This window comes from Homo sapiens, chromosome X (genome assembly GCF_000001405.40).
Source record: "Homo sapiens chromosome X, GRCh38.p14 Primary Assembly".
Lineage (NCBI taxonomy): Eukaryota > Metazoa > Chordata > Mammalia > Primates > Hominidae > Homo > Homo sapiens.
In genome coordinates this window covers 18,494,136-18,516,278 of record NC_000023.11, presented here as the reverse complement: position 1 = coordinate 18,516,278, position 22,143 = coordinate 18,494,136, and the positions used below count along the sequence as shown (strand labels likewise).

The 22,143-nt window shown below is 38.4% G+C and overlaps 1 protein-coding gene across 3 annotated transcripts in view; it reads right to left on the bottom strand.

Moving 5' to 3' along the window:
* CDKL5 (cyclin dependent kinase like 5) overlaps positions 1–22,143 on the bottom strand; it is a 228,022-nt gene that overhangs the window by 137,351 nt on the left and 68,528 nt on the right. For all 3 annotated transcript variants that reach the window (NM_003159.3, NM_001323289.2, NM_001037343.2), the window contains 2 exons: positions 9,119–9,344; positions 5,425–5,459 (listed from right to left, as the gene is read on the bottom strand). In NM_003159.3, the coding sequence (NP_003150.1) occupies positions 5,425–5,459; positions 9,119–9,182 (99 nt within the window). In that variant the 5' untranslated portion in view covers positions 9,183–9,344. The remainder of the gene's footprint in view (positions 1–5,424; positions 5,460–9,118; positions 9,345–22,143) is intronic.

Sequence of the window (22,143 nt, the reverse complement as noted above, 5' to 3'; positions counted from 1 at the left end):
CCAGGCGCAATGGCTCACGCCTGTCATCCCAGCACTTTGGGAGGCTGATCACTTGAGGTCAGGAGTTCAAGACCAGCATGGCCAACATGGTGAAACCCCATCTCTATTAAAAATACAAAAATTAGCCACGCATGGTGGTGGCTCATGCCTGTAATCCCAGATACTCGGAAGGCTGAGGTATAAGAATTGTTTGAACCCGGGAAGCGGAGGTTGCAGTGAGCAGAGATTGTGCCACTGCACTCCAACCTGGGCAACACAGTGAGAGAGAGAGAGAGAGAAAGAAGGAAAGAAGAAAGGAAGGAAGGGAGGAAGGAAGGAAGGAAAAGAGAAGAGAAGAGAAGGCTCCTATCTCATGCTCAAGTTAGCTATTTCTGGAGTCAGATCAAAGCCTAGTTCCACAATTTATCAGCCACATGATTTTGGCCCTATTACACAGACCCTCTAAGACTCAGTCTCCTCATGTGTAAAATGAGGCTAAGAATAGAGTTATCTTGTTGTAGTGGTTGAGACATCTAGTAGAGTGTCTAGCATGTGGTAGATGCTCAATAGGTAGTATTTGTTAATACTAGGTTTTATGTTCTGCTGCCATTTTTATTCTTTATTAAAGCCAAACTCATTATTTCTCCCCCCAAACTCATATATCTTTTATTAAGTTTCCCAGCCTGATAAATAATACCAAAGCTTTTCTAGTTTACCACATTCAAGTCCCTGGGATCATCTTTCATCCCTCCACACATACCAGGTCCCTGCTACTCTGCAACAGCTCTCTACTGCATCCTTCATTTTCAGTTCTCTAACGTAAGATTATTATTTATTGAACACTTATAGGCTGTACCCCAATGTTGGATGTTCACAGCTTTGTATAACTAGCTATCTCAAAAGCATATGTCACCTACTGCTTCAAAACAAACAAAAACTTCTCATAAGTCAACCATAGTCACAGGAAACAAATTACATGAATCACCACTTTCCTGTCCTGGGCTCAATGAGCATCACCCTCCAGCCTCTCTCTATCAAGCTGTACAAGCCCACTTTCCTCAAGTTCTAATTGAATGTCTTTATTTCAACCCCATTCAATTATCCTTGCCTTGTTGTAAGCATGACCTTTTCGTGTTTTTGCTAAGAAGAGCATGCTACAAAACATGCCTATTTCACAGGCACTTTAAAACAGACACACGAGGCTGGGCGCGGTGGCTCACGCCTGTAAATCCCAGCACTTCGGGAGGCCGAGGCAGGCAGATCACTTGAGGTCAGGAGTCCAAGACCAGCCTGGCCAACGTAATGAAGCCCCGTCTCTACTGAAAATACAAAAATTAGCCGGGCATGTTGGTGCGCGCCTATAGTCCCAGATACTCGGGAGGCTGAGGCACAAGAATCGCTTGAACCCATGAGGTGGAGGCTGCAGTGAGCCAAGATCACATCACTGCGTTCCAGCCTGGGTGAGAGTGAGACTTCGTCACAAAAAAAACCAAAAAACAAAAAAAACAAACACATACAAATAAAAAGATAATTAACTATGCATATCTGCAGGGTAAAGGTCCAAACCAGAATATCTTTTTTTTTTTTTTTTTGAGATGGAGTTTCACTCTTGTCACCCAGGCTGGAGTGCAGTGGTGCGATATCGGTTCACTGCAACCTCCGCCTCCCAGGTTCAAGTGACTCTCTTGCCTCAGCCTCCCGAGTAGCTGGGACTAAAAGCATGCGCCCCCACGCCCGGCTAATTTTTGTATTTTTAGTAGAGACCAGGTTTCACCACGTTGGCCAGGCTGATCTTGAACTCCTCACCTCAGGTGATCTGCCCACCTTGGCCTCCTAAGGTGCTGGGATTACAGGCGTGAGCCACTGTGCCCAGCCTAGAACATCTTTCAAATGTGAGTAGTCATAATGAGTCCTAAAAAGAAGCTTAGTCACTGCTAAGAGTTTTCATATGCATGTCAATGTGTATATATAACAACTTATTATTATATATACAATAAATATATACAGCTTAATTTTGTTCAGCTGTCAAAAAAAAAGTAAAAGCTATATTTTTCCTTTGAAATTGAGCAGCATTAATTTCAGTAAATTAGGAAGTATGATCTTTGGTCTGGATCAGCCCAACATCATATTCTATGCACAAAAGCAAAATACACCTATTTATCAGCATGATCTCTCAATTACTGCAACAGTACACAGATTAAAAAAGTGACTTTCTTCTATACTTGTTCAAATATACAACATGCTAAGAATTAATTATATATACACCCCCAGTCAACCTTTTCAAAAAGATACCCAATTTATGCATAAACAATCACACAGACCTGACTTATACATTTTTATAAACATTTCACTAAATTTTTAAAGGTATGCAAAAGATATTGGCCTGATTACTTTACATAAGTACAATCGGGAAGATTACATACATTTTTAATTATAATATGAGTTTCATAATAATCCATTTGTTTGACCCTAAAGCATCAATCTTGCCAGAAGCATCAAATTCTCTATTTTTGGATAATGGGGTATAGATTTGAAGGTCTGATTTTAGCTGAGAAAAGGATATACTATCTATAACAAGCCTAATGACTAAACAGCTGCAGATTCTAAAAAAGAGTTTTATAATACTCTGAGATAGGCACTAATTTATGCTTTAAATTTTCCATCCAGTGATATCTTTTTAGACACATGCAAGGAGAAAGCTACAATACTTAAAGAGCTGGTGTGTGACCTCATGTAGTGAAGGACAGCAAAGAGAGAAATGTTTTAGATGTATCTCATTTGCAGCAACCTCACAGACTTGTTTTTTTTTTAAGTTATCTATTCTTCTATCTCTTCAGACAGACCATAAGCCATATAAAGGCAAGAAAAGTATGGTTTATTTATCCTTGTAATTCAAAGTTCCCTACACACAGTAACTAAAAATCAGAGTTCACATTTAGAGTTGGTTTCCTAAGAGTAGAGATGTCCATTCTCATCCACTTTCACACTGGGCCCATCCTGCTGGCACTAACAGTGTGTGTTTTGAGAACCAGGTATATGAAACAACCATTTTAACAAATGAGTAAATAGAAAGATAAAAACAACATATTTAAATAATAAACTATTTTTATATAAAAGGCAGAAGGAGAGCTTAAAGTTACATGAAAGTATAGAGGAAAAGGTCACAGGTTGAAGTATGACAATGACTAGGAGAAAACATTTGGACTCTGTACATGATGTGTAATATATATCAGATATATGTATACGTATAATACATGTATGCATATGTGTATGTACATATGTAAGATATGTACATATCTCATAAATCTTTGAGTTTTAAAACCCAAGATTAGAAGTAAGAACTGAAGTTTCCATTTGCAATGTTGCATAAACAGAGCCATTGTATAAAAGGAGGTTTTATGTTCGGGAAAAAGTCAAATTTAACTTAGAAACTAATAACCTATTTCTCCCAAGTAATATCCACCCAGGAATTTTTTTTAAGCTTCAGAAACTTATAACTAAAGGCAAGTCATTAAAAGTATAGCATTTAGCATTTTATTAGGGAGCTTTTCATTTGTTTAATTTCAAACTACAGTAATATTTCTTAACAAGGTGTTCAAGGTGCTAAATTTATTTTTATTATATTTATTATTTTAAATTCTTAATCATCCTTAATCAAGAACCAATAGTATTCGAACCATTTTTGAAAATTTAATGGCAAAGAGATCTTCAGATAACTATTATTAACATAAAATAGTTCAATCACCCAATTTCAAGAAGAATACAAAAGCCATTGCATGGAAGTAAGAGATCTGTGATCTAAACACAAAAATATATTAAGTGTCACGAAGGCTTAAATTCAAAAGGCAGGTAGTATTTTGTACAATAGGAAAGAAAAAGCAAATATAAGAGTATCATCTTTATTTATGTGTGTGCATATTTACATACATACACACACATACATTATTTTCAATAGACGACAGATTCAAGAGTTTAAATGTTTTGGGTTAAATTGCTAAAATCACCACAGACATAAATTATATCATTCTGAAACATCACGAAAAAACTTAAAACCTTGGTCTTAACAAATTATATGCAAATGAAGCCAAATACTCAGACTAGGTATGCCATAATAGAAAAATATTTAAACTAATGTTTGTTACAGTTTCAACACTTGCCATCTGAAAGTTACTCTCCCAGTAAAACATGCTTACAACTGAATAACAGCTATGGAAACTTCAAATAACTTCTCTGAATAATTTGTGATTATTACCATAGTAAAATAATTTCTAGTAAGGTTCATTTCACAGCTGTTCAAGGGTAATCAACTATAGCCAGTAATCATAATCTACACTATTATCCCAAGTTCTAGCTCATATCCAAACACCTACCTTATTACCCTTCAAAATCTGGATTCAAATGCATCAAGCAATCTAAGTTAATGGGTCTACATGAAAAATAATTTTTAAAAAAACTCTTTGCTCATAAGTACTTGAACATAAATTAAATCTGTCACTGCCCTGCCTTCTTATTCCTGTCCCACCACCTTTTCTCTTTTCCCATTAGGCAGCTTTTCACTTATACAGTCATGCATCACTTAATGACAAGAATACATTCTGAAAAATATGTCATTAGGTGATTTTTATCACTGTGCAAACATCATAGAGTGTACTTACACAAACCTAGATGGTATAGCCTACTACACATCTAGGCTACATGGTATAGCCTATTGTTTCAAGGCTACAAACCTGTATAGCATGTTACCTTACTGAGTACCATAGTCAATGATAAGTATTTGTGTATCTGAAAATGTTTTTTATCTAAACAAAAAATACCATATCATAATCTTACGGGACCACCATCATACATGCTGTCCACTGTTGATCTAAATGTCATTATGAGGTGCACGGCATAGGTCAGTTGAAAAAAAAAAATAGCACGTGATTGCTAAGAACTAAGGACTACCCAACCATGATCAAGCTTATCTAAAAGTAGTCTCTTTCTGGCAGCATTCACATATTAATTCCACTTCATTAAACAACATCCTCATAACCAGAGTTTTAATTACAGGTTGAGCATCCCTAATTCAAAAATCCAAAATGCTCCAAAATCCAAAACTTTGAGTACTGATATGATGCCACAAGTGGAAAATTCCACATATAAGTATTTAAACTTTGTTTTAGGCAAAAACTTAAAATATTGCATAAAATTACCTTCAAGCTATATGTATTAAGTATATATGAAACATAAATGAATTTTGTGTCTAGCCTTGGGTCCCATCCCCAAGGTATCTCATTACATATATGGAAATATTCCAAAATCCAAAAAAATCCAAAACATTTCTGGTCTCAAGCATTTCAGATAAGGAATGCTCAACCTGTACATGCCCACACGCAAAGACCACTACATTAGTTTCAAAACAGTTAAACATATACAGATATTTCTTTTTAAAAATAATGTACTTGCCTTGTGTCTGCATTTAAGTACAACTCCATAGGCTCCTATAATAAAAAGAAGTAAACAATCAAGGGCACGCATACAAACTACAAAGCTCTGCTATACTGACATTGCTTCTCAGTGTTATAATAATGACTACTAAAGTGACAAGATTCTATAGTGATAATGCAATAATGAGCCACATACAAATGGAACATACTTTATTATACATTTATTATAAATCAAGAGTATAGACAAGTCATTTCTTCCAACAAGTATTTTTAAATGTTTCTTTTTAAAGAAAATTTCACTGGCGATACGTTTAAATGTAGGGTTACACATTTATGGAGACAAGATTTGGTCTCAAGAACTTTGAGAATAAAGGAAAATTAACTCAGAAGATTCTGTGGAACTTAAAACTTAAGAGCTAGGCCAGGCACAGTGGCTCACGCCTATAATCCCAGCACTTTGGGAGGCCGAGGCTGGCAGATCACCTGAGGTCAGGAGTTCAGGACCAGCCTGGCCAACATGGCAAAAACCCATCTCTACTAAAAATACAAAAATTAGTTGGGTATAGTTGCAGGTGCCTGTAATCCCAGCTACTCAGGAGGCTGAGGCAGGAGAATCGTTTGAACCCAGGAGGCAGAGGTTGCAGTAGTCCAGATCGCGCCACTGCACTCCAGCCTGGGCAACAGAGCAAGACTCCATCTCGAAAACAAACAAACAAACAAACAAAAAAACCTTAAGAGCTAATGACATCCCAGTAGTAAGCTCAAGCACAGAGCCCACCAAATACATTATCTGTTCTAGAAGACATTAAAATCTTCCTCTAGGATACTGAAATGCCCCTCTTTTTTTTTTTTTTTCTGTTTTGTTTTGTTTTTTAAGTTTTTTTTGTAGAGACATGGTCTCACTATGTTGCCCAGGCTGGTCTCAAACTCCTGGCCTCAAGCAATCCTCCCACCTCAGCCTCCCAAAGTGCTGGGATTATAGGCATGCACCACCACACCCAGCTGAATGTCTCTCCTGACTGGCAAAGTAGTCCAGGCCTCAGTATTCCAATTAATAGCTAGTAGGATTTGCTACCTTTTGCCATAAATAAAGACTCAGTTCATGCACAAAGGCGACAAGCACTCCCACTGTCTTTGGTGTATTTCAACAAGTAACTACCTTTGGGGTTACTTATCCTATTATCTAGGCAATAGACTTCTTCCTTAGAAGTAGGACAGAGTTGACAGCAAAGTACTCAGGAAACTGAGGTTAAAATTATAATGTGAAAAATCTAATTAAGAGAATCAAAATGTAATGAATGATAGCTGAGCTTTGCAGAAACATCAAGAACATTAACATTAGCAGACTGGCAAGCCTGCATTCATCTATGAGAAGGGGGCTTCACGGATACAAAATTGGGAAATGTGTCTCCAACACAGTCTATGGGACCTGAACAAGTCTCCCTCACTTTGGTAGAGATGGATGAATCCTATTATCACAGTTAGCATAGAACCAGCCATTATAACCATCTAACTTAACTCCACAATTGCCAGGCAATTGTCCAATTCTAACTGCCTATGCCAGTTATTCTATGGGGTAAAAAATACACTGTCTAAACTACAAGAATGCAGAGTTTGCTTGACAGGGGTGTGTGTGTGTGTGTGTGTGTGTGTGTGTGTGTGTGTGTGTGTGTGTGCGTGTTTTGAGACAGTCTCGCTCTCTCATCAGGCTGGAGTGCAGTGGCACAAGCTCACTCACTGCAACCTGTGTGTGTGTGTGTGTGTGTGTGTGTGTGTGTGTGTTTTGAGACAGTCTCGCTCTCTCATCAGGCTGGAGTGCAGTGGCACAAGCTCACTCACTGCAACCTCCACCTCCTAGGTTCAAGCGATTCTCCTGCCTCAGCCTCCTGAGTAGCTGGGACTACAGGCGCCCGCCACCACACCCAGCTAATTTTTGTATTTTTAGTAGAGACAGGGTTTCACCATGTTGGCCAAGATGGTCTGGATCTCTTGACCTTGTGATCCACCACCTCAGCCTCCCAAAGTGCTGGGATTATAGGCATGAGTCACCGTTCCTGGTGACAGATTGTTATATACTTTATATGTATATCCTAGCCAAAAATACATGTGAGGTGCTTTCCAAAGAAAGAAACATACAGCAATGGTAGTTCTGATAACAAAGTAACATATTCTGATATATATATATATATATAACAGTCTGGTAATTTTGAGCCAATCCCAAAGAAGATGATCACCTATGGCTATAATGAGAAAAACTAGTTATGATCCAGAAAAACTTAGGCCCAGAATCTGGAGCATTCTAACCTTGTTACACCGTATGTGCTAGCCTTCTCCAGTCAGCAGCTTTATTGCATTGGTCTCTAATTCTAATACTTTTGAAAAATAAAATAGGCTATTCCAGAACAGATGGTAAGCAAGACACTGAAAATGAAATTTTTACATAACATCGATGAAGAAATGGAAGAGGAGTTGACTAGTGAAGGAACAAAGACCTATTTGTTTTGTATGGTTTGAATTTCAGACCTTGAAACAAGCATCCAATGATTAAACTCTTTATTTTAATTGTTTCTATGTATTTGAAAGGATTTGCCAACTTTAAAACTTAATAACAGCTTTGCTGTTCACATAGGTGAACTTTTTTAGTCCTTTAGGAATTCAGAGTTTATTTGAAAATTCTGAAATATGAAATTTTTGTAACATATGCTTTAAAGATATAAATGCTAAGAAACCATAATTATAATCACTTATCTTCTGTTAACAGAATCATTTATCAAAATTTCCAAAGTTATCTTTAAGTCTAGAGCAAAAATCACTAAGCAGGAAAAATCAGAAGAAATGATTTTTTTTTAGGAGTCAGTTTATACAAAATGACATCATATTTCATCAAATCAATGGTATATCATTGGTCATGAGCATTATTTTATGTACTATTAGGAAAGGGAGAATGCTGCCAATTAAACTGTGACATGATACTGATTATAAGATACACCCTGATTTCAGAGATAAAATTGTATGCCTCAGAATTTACAAAACATAGTCTCCCATTTTCAAAGAAACAGAATTTACTTATTTGTTTATTTACCAGGTATTAAGTAAAATTTCACCAACATGGTGAAACCCAGTCTCTACTGAAAATACAAAAATTAGCTGGGCACAGTGGCTCACGCCTGTAATCTCAGGAGGCTGAGGCAGGAGAATCGCTTGAACCCAGGAGGCAGAGGCTGCAGTGAGCCGAGATCATGCCACTGCACTCCAGTCTGGGTAACAGTGAGACTCTGTCTTGAATGAATGAATGAATGAATGAATGAATGAATGAATGAAATTTAAGTTATTCAAAATAAGCCTAGCTGATATAAAAATAAAATGGAACCAAGAAAAAAAATGCAGACTAAGGAACTCATGATTGCTAAAAAAAAAAAAAAAAAAAGAATGAAGGCAAAGACTGTTGTAACACTGGGGCTCTTTTTAAAAGAAAAGGGAAAAAAATCTTTGATTTATTAAACTTTAAAGGGTTTTAAAAAGTTATTAATTTTTTATTGGAGAGTGAGACCCAAATTGTTTAAGAGTAATTTTATTTTTAATATTTTACTCTTAGACACACATGTGAATTGATATAGGTTAAATTAACAGGATCTAATTAGTAACTTTTTGGTGGTAGGAATAACTAACTGTTCATTGCTCAAAACTCAAGGAACGCAAAAATTCCAACTTACCTTCACCTACAACCCCAAGGATCTCAAATTTATTCATCACATTACCAATGTTAGGAATCTTCATGAAGACAAACTCCTCTTTTGATGCAAGCCACAAAACATGGCACCAAAAGAACTTCTCAGAAAGCTGTGCAGTAAGATCCAAAACCGTCTGAAGGAAGAAATTCTCACTGGTTGGTGGGAACTTTCACATATTTGTTCTAATCATGAAGTATTAAATGACTCCCTGAAAAAAACAAACACAATTAAAAGCTGTAAGTTTTATATTTGCAGTACTCTAGTAACCAATCTTACCTTTTTGTAGAGTTATTTTTCAATCCATTTTAATGTTTTATACACTTAAAATGAAGAAGAAACCAACAGTAATAGGAGCGAAGAACCCAAAATGGAATGAATACAAACAAATGAACCTCTCTGTATTTGAAATGAATAATATAACCACACTTTTGGGGACAAGGACAAATGAATTAACCACAGCTAACTTTTAAAAACAGCATTTTCACTATCTACTCTCCTAAAGCTAAAAATAAAAAGAATTATAAACAAATACTATATTCTACTTAGCTACCTGCTTTTATACAATGACATGAAACTTGTTTGTGTGTGTTCTAAGATTGGGCAAATAGGTAAATATTCTGTGAATATACTGACCTTGGTTTCTTATTCTCATAAAAGGGAGTAACAAATATAAAAAGGGAGAAGGCTTGGAGTTGGAGTTAACAATATAAGCTCAGTTTTTAATATATAGGAGTATAGACAGATATAAAGGTGTTTGTGTAAATGTGCACTCACATACATATATTTCCTAGCTCTGTCTGCTGAGAAGGCCTAGAAGCAATGATACCCCTATAGCTATGAACACAGCTGGTGCTCTGATAAAAGGAACTAGGGTTCCTTGAAGAAATGGCTGATTCCAAGGGTGGGGCAGGAGAAGGACCATAGGAGCCTAGGGCATATTTTTGTGGTGCCAGAAAGTAAGGAAATGCTCAAAGAATGATAGGGGTACCTCAAAAGGACACAGGAGTCAGACTGATGTGACTCCCACTGGCCTAATCGGGAATATTTGAGCAACAAAGTAAATAAGCACAGTAACAGATTATAACCCATATAATTTTTTTAAAAGTCCTTACTGACATAAATAAATAAATGGGGGAGAAGAGAAAGCTCTTTTGCGAAGTATAATTCCAAATAATAAATGTAGTGATAAAATTAGAAGATCGCCATTTGGCAATCACTCTGGTAATAATTATTTCAAGCAAGTATGATCAATACATGCTAAAACTAGTGGTTGAAAATTTGATGGAAAACAGGATATTATCTAATCTCAAAGTATCCACAAGATACCTATTAATTACAAGAAGAAAAATAGTAATTTTACACTGAAGAATCCTGCCAGACACCACCTTAATTAAATGATCAAGTTAACGTCATCAATAAGGGGACAAACCAACATTATATGCCCCCTGATAGGATGTATCACATCACCACTTCTGTGGCATTCCTGCCAGAAATGCAAAACCTGAATCTAATCACAAGAAGCAAGAGACAAGCCCAAGCTGAGGGACATTTTACTAAATAATTGGCCCATATTCTTTTAAAATGTCAAGGTCATGAAAGACAAGAAACAACTGAGTAACAAGAAGCGACTATTCCAGATTAAAGAAGATTAAGAGATATGACAATGAAATACATTGCATGATCCTGGATTACATCCTGGACAAGAAAAAGCTTTTGTTCTTTTTTCGCTATGAAGAACAATTGATACAATTCAAATGTTCACAGATTATAGTACTGTTGTCAGTAGTTTTCTAATTTTCATATTAGTACTTCGGTTATATAAAACAATGCTCTCATTTTTAAGAAACAGCACTAAAGTTTTTAAAGGGGCATCATGTTTACAACTTAAACCACTGAGAAAAATTATATGTGTGTATGAGGGAAGAGAAAAAAGACAGAAAGAATGATAAAGCAAATATGATAAAATATTAACACACTTGGAAAATCTAGGTCAAGGGTATAGGAAGTAGGAAATTCTTTGCACTATTTTTGCAGTTTTTCTCTAAATCTGAAATATTTTCAAAATAAGCTTTGTTTCAAAAAGCTTATCCCATCTCTAAGAATAACAGTGGTAACAACACAAAATATTGTTTTAAAAGGAAGAAACAAATCTAAACAAGAAGTTCCTTACTGCCTATAAAATCTGAAACTTTCTTTTTTTTTTTTTTTTTGAGACGGAGTTTCGCTCTGTCGCCCAGGCTGGAGTGCAGTGGCGCGATCTCGACTCACTGCAAGCTCCGCCTCCCGGGTTCACACCATTCTCCTGCCTCAGCCTCCCGTGTAGCTGGGACTACAGGCACGCGCCACCATGCCCGGCTAATTTTTGTATTTTTTTTAGTAGAGACGGGGTTTCACCGTGTTAGCCAGGATGGTCTCGCTCTCCTGACCTCGTGATCCGCCCGTCTCGGCCTCCCAAAGTGCTGGGATTACAGGCGTGAGCCACCGCGCCCGGCCAAAATCTGAAACTTTTAACAAGAATACCCCATGTGATGTGGGTAAGTATTGTCAAGGAGTGCCCTTCCATACACTGATGGTAGAAATGTAAATTGGTGCAAATTTTCTAAAAAGCAATATATACATAATTAGGTGATTTTAAAATGTGCATATCCTGATAAGGGCATCTGACAAAAACCTACAACAAACATCATTCTTAAATGTGAAGCAGTAGACATAGTCCCTTTAAAACTTAAGAACATGTGCCCAGGCACCATGGTTCACGCATATAATCCCAGCACTTTAGGAAGCCAAGGCAGAAGGATCGCTTGAGCCCAGGAATTAGAGACCAGCCTGAGCAACACAGGGAGACCCAGTCTCTACAAAAACAAAAAAAACAAACAAAAACAAAAAAAACCTAGCCTGGTGGGCATGGTTGTGGGAGGCTGAGACGGGAGGATCACTTGAGCCCAGGAGGTCAAAGCTGCAGTGAGCTGTGATTGCGCCACCGGACACTAGCCTGGGCAACAGTGTGAGACCCTGTCTCCACCAAACAAACAAAAACATGACAAGGAGTTCTACTATTAATACTTATTAACATTAGTATTAAACATCCTAGCCAGGCACAGTGGCTCGTGTCCATAATCCCAGCACTTTGGGAGGCTGCTGGGAGGCTGAGGTGGACGGATCACTCATGCTCAGGAATTCAAGACCAGCCTAGGAAATGTGGTGAAACCCTTTCTCTAGAAAAACTACAAAAACTAGCCGGGTGTGGTTGTGCACGCCTGTAGTCCCAGCTACTCTCAGATGGTGAGGAGGGAGGATTGCTTGAGCCCAGGAGGGCGAAGCTGCGGTGAGCCGTGATCGCACCACTGCACTCCAGCCTGGGCAACACCGCAAGACCCTGTCTCAAAAACAAAAACAAAACAAAAACATCCTTGTGGGTTATAGCTGGCTTAGTAAAATAAGAAACAATAAATGAATAAAATGTATGATTGAAAAGAGGGAAACGAAAACAGAATTTGCATATATTACCTCATAGAAAATTCAAAAGAATTCATAAATTATTGGAATTATTAGTGTTTGGCAAGGTAGCTGAACATAAGCTTAATACACAAATATCAGCAGCATCTGTAAAGAGCATTTGTAAGAAATAGAAAATGCAATTTTTAAAAATCACATTTATGGGCGGGGCACAATGGCTCACGCCTATAATCACAGCACTTTGGGAGGCTGAGGCAAGCAGACTGCTTGAGCTCACGAGTTCGAGACCAGACTGGGCAACATGGCAAAATCCAGCCTCAACAAAATATATAAAAATTAGCTGCATGTGGCAGAGCATGCCTGTAGTCCCAGCTACTCCAGAGGCTGAGATGGGAGGATGGTTTGAGCCCGGGAAGCGGAGGCTGCAGTAAGCCAAGATTGTGCCATTGCACTCTAGCCTGGACAATAGAGCCAGACCTTGTCTCAAAGAAAAACAAAAACAAACCACATTTACAATAATTTTAAAAAGCACCTAAGATTTAACAAAAGATATTCAAAACGACTTTTCAAATATATATGTAACTTTACTCAAGACATTAAAAAACACGTAAATAAGTTATCCAAATTTTACAGCTAGGAAGATTCAAAACTATAAAGGTATCAATTCTTTCCATATTGATCTATATAGTCAATGCAATTCCAATCACAATCCCAACAAGGTTTTCTAAAGAATTAAGACAAGCTGATTTTAAAATATATATGGAAGGGCAGAGTTCCAAGTAGAAGCAACACCCTCCTACTACAAGTATGAGCAGCAAAGAATAAGAAAAAGAAAAGAGTAAGAAAGATAAGAAAAGTTACAAGAGCACTAGGCTTTGAGGGTAGGATCTGGCAGGATGCCCTACTGAATAGGTTGAGGATTATAATAGAGTGAGGGAAATTAAGACAGGGTGGTTCTGGCACGGATAAATAACCAATAGAACAGATGTGAGAGCCCAGAATAGACCATACTTCAGTATCCCTACAGATTCCTACAGACCTTAAAGAAGTCAGAGTAACTCTTGAAGATAACTCAGACCATGTCACTTCTCATAAACTTCTCATTCAAAACCCTCTAATGGCCTCCCATATCATTAAGAGTGAAAAGCAAAATCCACATGAGCCACAGGCCTTGACCTCCCCTCCTGATATCATCTCCTACTAGACTCTCCCTTGACTAGCTTCACTCCAGCTACACTGACCTCCTTTCGCTATACTTAGCTTAGAAAACTTTAGTTCACTGGAATCAAAAATTTTTTAAGGATTATTCTGATATTTAGAGAAAAAGATGTCACAATTTGAGATGAAATATTTATTAATTCATTAAGCAAATAATTACTGACTGCCTCCCATGTTTTCAGGATAAGACACACAACATAGTGGTAAACAAGACAGGCAAGGTCCTTACCCTCATGGAACTTTACATTTTGCTGGTGGAGAAAAAATACGAGACTATTATCTTGTATTTTGTTATGAAAGAGGGAAAAAGAATGATAGACAGGGAGGGCTTCTCTAAAAAGGTAACATTTGAGCTGAGATGGCAATGACAAGGAGCCAGCTATATGAGGATCTATGTCAGTCACATTCCTGGTAAAAGATGCTCAGAGCATTTCTGAAAACGAATCACTCTTTCATTTTCTACGGCTGGTTTGAAAGAACACTCAGGAAATATTTAAATATTCTACTCTCTGCCAATAATGGTATGGTTCATTTCAAAGGAAACTTGAGATAAAAATTAATCATTCTCACTAAGAAGACCCAAAAAGTTCTGTATAAAAGTATTTGTAAAGAACATTTGTGGCCGGGCGTGGTGGCTCACGCCTGTAATCCCAGCACTTTGGGAGGCCAAGGCAGGTAGATGACCTGAGGTCAGGAGTTCGAGACCAGCATGACCAATATGATGAAACCCGATCTCTACTAAAAATACAAAAATTAGCTGGGTATGGTGGTGCGCGCCTGTAGTGCCAGCTACTCGAGAGGCTGAGACAGGAGAATTGCTTGAACCCGGAAGGCAGAGGTTGCAGTAAACCGAGATCTTACTACTGCACTCCAGCCTGGGCGACAGAGCGAGACTGTCTCAAAAAAATAAAAAAAAATAAAAATTTTTTAAAAAAAACATTTGGTCTCACTATTCTTTGTGGCAGTCAAAACTGAGTAATAAAAACTGGGAATTAGGCCAGGTGAGATGGCTCATGCCTGTAATCCCAGCACTTTGGGAGGCTGAGGAGGGTGAATAACCTGAGGTCAGGAGCTCGAGACCAGCCTGGCCAACATGGTACAACCCCGTCTCTACTAAAAATACAAAAATTAGCCAGGTGCGGTGGCAGGCACCTGTAATCCCAGCTACTCGGGAGACTGAGACACGAAAATCACTTGAACCCGGGAGGCAGAAGTTGCAGTGAGCTGAGATATTGCCATTGTACTTAAGCCTGGATGACAAGAGTGAAAACTCCGTCTCAAAAACAAAAACAAACAAACAAAAAAACTGGGAATCAGAATGTGAGTGGGGCCGGCTACAGTGGCTCACGTCTGTAATCCTAGCACTTTGGGAGGCTGAGGCAGGCAGACTGCTTAAGGTCAGGAGTTGGAGACCAACCTGGCCAACATGGTGAAACCCCATCTCCAGATAAAATACCAAAAAATTAGCCGGGTGTGATGGTGGGTGCCTGTAGTCCCAGCTACACAGGAGGCTAAGGCACGAGAATTTTTTGAGCTTGGGAGGTGATGGTTGCAGTGAGCCAAGATCACGTCACTGCACTCCAGCCTGGGCAACAGAAGGAGAGTCGGTCTCAAAACAAATAAAAAAAATAATAATGATGTGAGTGGATACTTATCTTGGATGTCAAGAATGGTCTTTTAAATACCAGTATTCATACTGAAGAAAAAAATTATGCCATATTGGATTTAGCTGCAATTTTATATGAATATAACTGATTAATCTTTTTTTTTAAGGCATAAAAACTAAAACGTTTTAGTTCTGGTGATGGCAAACTACATATCTTGGATGAAATGTCCCTTTACAGACAAATACAAATGCTAGAGGGAATACTTTTCAGAAACATCTTAAAAGCTCCAAACACTTAACAAGATTGTGAAGAATTACCTGGCTAAAATCAAAGCAATCAAAGCAAAAGAATAGAATCCAGAGAGATAATCCAAACCACCCAAAACTATTTTAGCTTTTCTGGTATTTGAAGATCCAGAAAATGAGAGAAAAACAGGTTTGCTCTTGAAATCGTTAGAGATCAAGGAACACAAAATTCAAAGTCAAGGGTGTCTCAAAATGAGAAAGTTTGTTAGCAATAATTTATTGTATATTTCAAAATAACTAAAAGAGTGGAATTGGGAGGTTCCTAACACAAAGAAATGATAAATGCTTGAAATGATGGATACCCCAATTACCCTGATCATTACATATTGTATGCTTGTATCAAAATATAACATGTATCCCATAAATATATACAACTATTAAGTAGCTATAATCATTAAAAATAAAATTTTTATAAATAAGGAGAAAGTTTGATAAATCACCACTCACTTGAAGCCAAAACCCCAGAATATACTCCCAGGATAAGAAAAAACAGAAATAAATCAGCCCTTGGACAAACTTGAACTGTAGGTTTATGTCATCTGGGCGATCTAGATAAAATCTTTAAATGTACTTTGGATTAAGGTGGTTCCACATTCAGATTGTTAAAGCCACCAGTTGTCTGGGTGAAACAAAGAAAAAAAGCAACGCTCTGAGGGAAGATGGCATCAACCAGGCCTCACAATACTGCTACAGATAGTTTCTCATTTACAATGTGCAGTACATAATCAAAGATGGCCAAACACGCAAGGTAAGATACCACGAACAAGAACCAATAGAAACAACTGAAAAAGAAAATGATCCCAAAAGACTTTGGGTCAGGGATAGCCTATAAATGATCAGCAATAGCCTACAAAACAACGGTAGGGTTGATGCAATAAAAACCAGACTGGCCGGGTGCAGTGGCTCACGCCTGTAATCCCAGCACTTTAGGAGGCCGAGGCCGAGGCGGGTGGATCACGAGGTCAGGAGATCCAGACCATCCTGGTTAACATGGTGAAACCCTGTCTCTACTGAAAAAATACAAAAAAATTAGCCGGGCATTGTGGTGGGCGCCTGTAGTCCCAGCTACTCGGGAGGCTGAGGCAGGAGAATGGCATGAACCCGGGAGGCGGAGCTTACAGTGAGCCGAGATCGAGCCACTGCACTCTAGCCTCGGCGACAGAGCGAGACTCCATCTCAAAAAAAAAAAAAAAAACAAAGACTGAACATTGTGACAGAACTAAAAGGTCCAAAAGGTGAAAGATCAAACTATAAAAATAAATTAGAATGCTAGATAGAGAGCATAACAAAAAAAGAGAACTAAATGAAAGAGAAAAATATTAGGATAAAGAAGACATTGAACATGTTTTTAAAATTTGACCAAATGAACATATCAACTATAGCAAAGAACTGCAAAATATCTTTTTCTCCTCTCCAAGCACACATACAACATTCACAAAAACTGATCATATGCTAGGCCATAAAGCAATTCAAAATAAATTACAAGGGCCGGGCACAGTGGCTCGGGCCTGTAATCCCAGTATTTTGGGAGGCTGAGGTAGGCAGATTACTTGAGGCCAGGAGTTCGAGACCAGCCTGGTTAACATGGTGAAATCCTGTCTCTACTAAAAACACAAAACTTAGCCAGGTGTGATGACCACGTGCCTGTAGTCCCAGCTACTCAGGAGGCTGAGGCACGAGAATCACAGAGGATGCAGTGAGCCAAATGGCGCCACTGCACTCCAGCCTGAGCAACAGAGCAAAACTCCATCTCAAAAATAAATAAATAAATAAAATAAATTACAAGGACTGAAGTAAAAGGATGGTCTCTTTCCACAACTAAAGTTGATCAATCACAAAAGAAGTAGTTAGAAAATAATTCTTATGTTTGGAAATAAATACACTCCCAAAATAATCCATATGTCAATCAAGGAAGAAAACATAATACACTTAACAATAACAAAAATACAAATCTATAGAAAGAAAACAATGCTTAAGGAGGAAATTGAGAATCTTATATGCATATATCAGAAAATACTAAAAACTGGAAACATGAACTAAGCATCAAACTCAAGAGGCTAAACAAAAGAAACACAAAATGAGCCCAATGAAAATGTGAAGAAAGAAATGAGTAAGAGCAAAAATTCATGAAACAGAAAACACAAGTAATAAAAAGATCAGGCTGGGAACCTACAGAACTGTGAGCTAATAATATATGGTGTCTTAACATGGCTAAGCATGTGGTAAGTTATTATGCAACAGAAAACTGATACAACAGCATTGTTTCTTTTATATACAGTTTAAAAACAGGCAAAGCTGAACTATAAACTATATTAAGTATGTACATGTAAGTGGTAACTGTATAAAAAAGTGATCAAGGAAGTGTTTATTGTAAAAAAATCAGGATATTAATTACCTCTAAGGAGGGACTGAGATTGAGAAAAGACATATGGCAGCCCGGCATTTTGGAAGGCTGAGGCGGCACTTTGGAAGGCTGAGGCGGAAGGATCACTTAAACCCAGGAGTTTGAGACCAGCCTGGGCAACATAATGAGACCTTGTCTCTACAACAACTTTTTTTTTTTTTTTTTAATTAGCTGGGCGTTGGTGGCGAACACCTCTAGTCCCAGCTACTTGGGAGGCTGAAGTGGGAGGATTCCTTGAGCCTAGGTGATCACAGCTGCGGTGAGCCGTGATTGTGCACTGTGCACTGTGCACTGCCGGGGTGACAGAGAAAGAAAGGAAAGAAAGGAAGGAAGAAAGGGAAAGAGAAAGGGAAAGGGAAAGGCTAGACAAGACAACACAACACAACACAACACAGGAGGGGTTCCTGGGGCACTATTTCTATGTCTTGAGTGATGGTTAAATAGACATTCACTTATAATTGTTCATTAGAGTATATACTTATGTTTAATGTATTTCTACGTTGTTATATTCCATTATAAAACAAGCTTTTAAGACCTCAGAATATTTCTGATAATGATTTCATATATAAATAGTTCCTTCGTCATTTATATGGTATTAAAAAATAATTTTTATCAAAGACAAAGCATTGCAGTATCACATTAAACAAGAAAGTTTAACTGTTCTCTCTCTCGGAAGTTCAAGACACCACATAATGCACTATGTTTAGTGCTGGGTATCACAACAACAAAACCAAAAATTGCCAACAACTGATAACCTGGATAGTGACCACTCACCTAAAACCATGCCAGATGAGGAACTGGTAAGGAAACCAGGTGAGTTTGGCCTCAGTGAGAGATGACTGACATCCAAATGTCTGAAGACTTTGGAAAAAATGGAATCGAGCCAGTGATTTATTCCAGGGGACAGAACTAAGTTCAGTAGTAGAAGCAAAAAGGAGACAAATTTCAGCTCAGTAGTGATTGGAACATGTAAACCAAAAATAAAATCCTAAATTAGCCGGGGGTGGTGGCGTATGTCTGCAATCCCAGCTACTCGGGAGGCTGAGGCAGGAGAATTGCTTGAACCCAGGAGGCAGAGGTTACAGTAAGCCGAGATAGCGCCACTGCACTCCAGCCTGGAAAACAGAGCAAGACTCCATCTCAAAAAGAAAAAAAAAAAAATCCTAAACCCCCCAGCTGACTGAACAAACTCCTTCTTGGCCAAGGGCACCCCAGAGAAACCTGAAAAACTGAATTCCCAGCCAGGAAGAGAGGTCAGACATACCTCGTTATACTCCCTCTTTTTGGATGGCGATCCTAAGACTGGCAAACCAGACACTGTGGCAATAAGATAACAAATTATAAACAACACCTAAGGTCAGGCAAAGCAGGGGTTAAGTCACGCCCTACAAACCATAAAGCCTCATCAGAGATGATTAACCTAGTATAAAGTATAATGTGGCTTACTTTCCAATCTGACTGTGTTATAGCATCACATGACAAATAGCAGACCCTGAAGGCAATCAAAATATTTTACCCCAAAATATATTTCTTTGACATATTTTAAAATAACTGTCACGGGGCCAACAGAATCTCCATAGTGCAGCCAAGCCTTCCCTTTCTGGGCCTTTCCCCCAACCTAGGAGACATTAACTGAGAGCCTGACACCTTTAAGGTCTGAAAAGAGACATTTACCATCTATTCTCCCTGAAAGCTGCTACCTATGAGGCTTTACTACATAACAAGAACCTTGGCCTCCACAACCCCCTTATCTTAACTTTACCATTTCTTTCTACTGACTTCAAGTCTTTAGAAAAAGCTTAACTCTTTCAACCAACTGCGAATCAGAAAATCCTTTAATCCACCTATGATCCCCCACTACCTTGGCTGAACCAATGTACATCATCCTCCAAGTACTGACTGATGATTTTACCTACAATTCTCTCCCTAAAACATATAAAAGCAGACTGCAATCTGATAGCCTAGGACATATTTTGTCAGGGCTCTTGAGACTGTTCCCCAGACCATGGTCACTCACATTAGCTCAGAATAAACCTCTTTAAAATATTTTACAGAGTTTGGTTTTAACATTAACAAAATGATCAATCATCAATGGTTATTCATTCATTCTCATTTTTGTCATACTTGTCAGATGCCTACAATGGGACAGCCACTATTGTAGATACTTCAGGATATAGCGGTGAACAACATGGACCATGCTCCTGCTCTCATGGAGCTAAAGGAGATAGACAATAAATATGATAATTTCAGACAGTGACAAGTATTATAAGGAAATAAAACAGAGTCTTATGATAGAGTTATGGCAGTTGGGAAGGGGAGAGGTCCTTTAGGTAGGAGATCTGGGGAAGGTTGTCTGAGAAGGCAGTATTTCAGAGAAATCTGTCCCATGTAAAAATTCCAAGCCACCAGGGCTATGAGAAGAGTGTTCAAGGCAGTACAAAGAGTCTTAGAGAGTTTGATAAATTCAAGGAACACAGAAGGCCTGTATATCTGAAGCAGAACAGACAAGGAGGAACCTCGCAAGAGGCAGGAAGGGGCCTCTGTAAACAGTTTGTCCCTGGTAGAAAGGAATCCTGTACTAAACTAGATGCCCTCTAAGGTACCTACTAAAGTGAAGATTCTAACTCCCTCAAAAATTGTTTGCGTTTTTGATTACCAGTCACTAACTGTGTAAACAAATAACCAAATGCATTTTAGGTTGGATTTGACTCACACTAAGAAAATACATGTAAAATTAAGCAATGTTTCTGTATTAGCAAACAAGCAGGTATCTAAAGAACTGACAGAAACGTAGGCTTATAATTTATTTCATAGATTATTAGTATTGAATTTAAGAGCTGCCTGGGCCTTGAATGTTTTCTTTGTTACTGAAATTATAATCTTCATCTCAACGGGTCTTTTCTTCTTCCCAAAGAGAGTACAAAATCAGTTGAATCATGAGTTTTGTTTTTGTTCCTGGCATTGTTTTTACACATCCAAATGAGAGAACCATTTTGTCACTGAAAATTGCATAGGAATACATTTGGTACATGACTAAACTTCTGTTATAATAAGAGAGTTCAAATGGTTGGAAAGCATCTTAAAACTCAAGATCCACATACAGAAGAAAACCATTTCTATGGAAGGCACGGCCTTGTGAAAAACACCCTAATTAATTACCCTTTTGTAAAGACTTCTCCATGCTGAATACAAGCAAGGAGATGAAGCACTCCTACTTAGTTTTCTTTCTAGATGGGACCATCTGACCCATAATTAATAGGATCTTCATTTTGCTTTATTCTCCCAAAAGTGGAGAGTAACTTGATTTATCAATCCATCCTTTATAATTCAGTCCCCCCTTATTAAATCAAACAGATATTTGATTATCATGAGTTATACACAATTTACTAGCATAAAAATTTCAAACTACCAAATATGTTATGTGCCTCCCTACCCTTGACCTTCAGAATCCTTCCACAAGGGAGGAAATCCAGTATCAACCCAATGTATCTTCTACCAGCTACTTGATACTTCTCCCAGCACTGCCAATCCTCCTAAACTCCCAGCCCTTCCTAATATGAGGGTCTTTGGATTCAGATTGAAAAACAGAGCTAAGGCTGGGCTGGGTGGCTAACGCCTGTAATCCCAGCACTATGGGAGGCCAAGGCGGGTGGATCACCTGAGGTCAGGCATTAGAGACCAGCCTGGCCAACGTGGCAAAAACCCCATCTCTACTAAAAAAAAAAGAAATACAAAAAATTAACGGGGTATGGTGGCACATGCCTGTAATCCCAGCTACTTGGAAGGCTGAGGCAGGAGAATCACTTGAACCCAGGAGGCGGAGGTTGCAGTGAGCCAAGATCTTGCCATTGCACTCCAGCCTGGGCGACGGAGCAAGACTTTGTCCCCAAAAAAAAAGAAAGAAAGAAAAAGAAAAACAGAGCTAAAATGGGATCAGAGCCAGGGGCGCTGGCTCACGCCTGTAATCCCACCACTTTGGGACGCTGAGGCAGGCCAATCGCTTGACTCCAGGAGTTT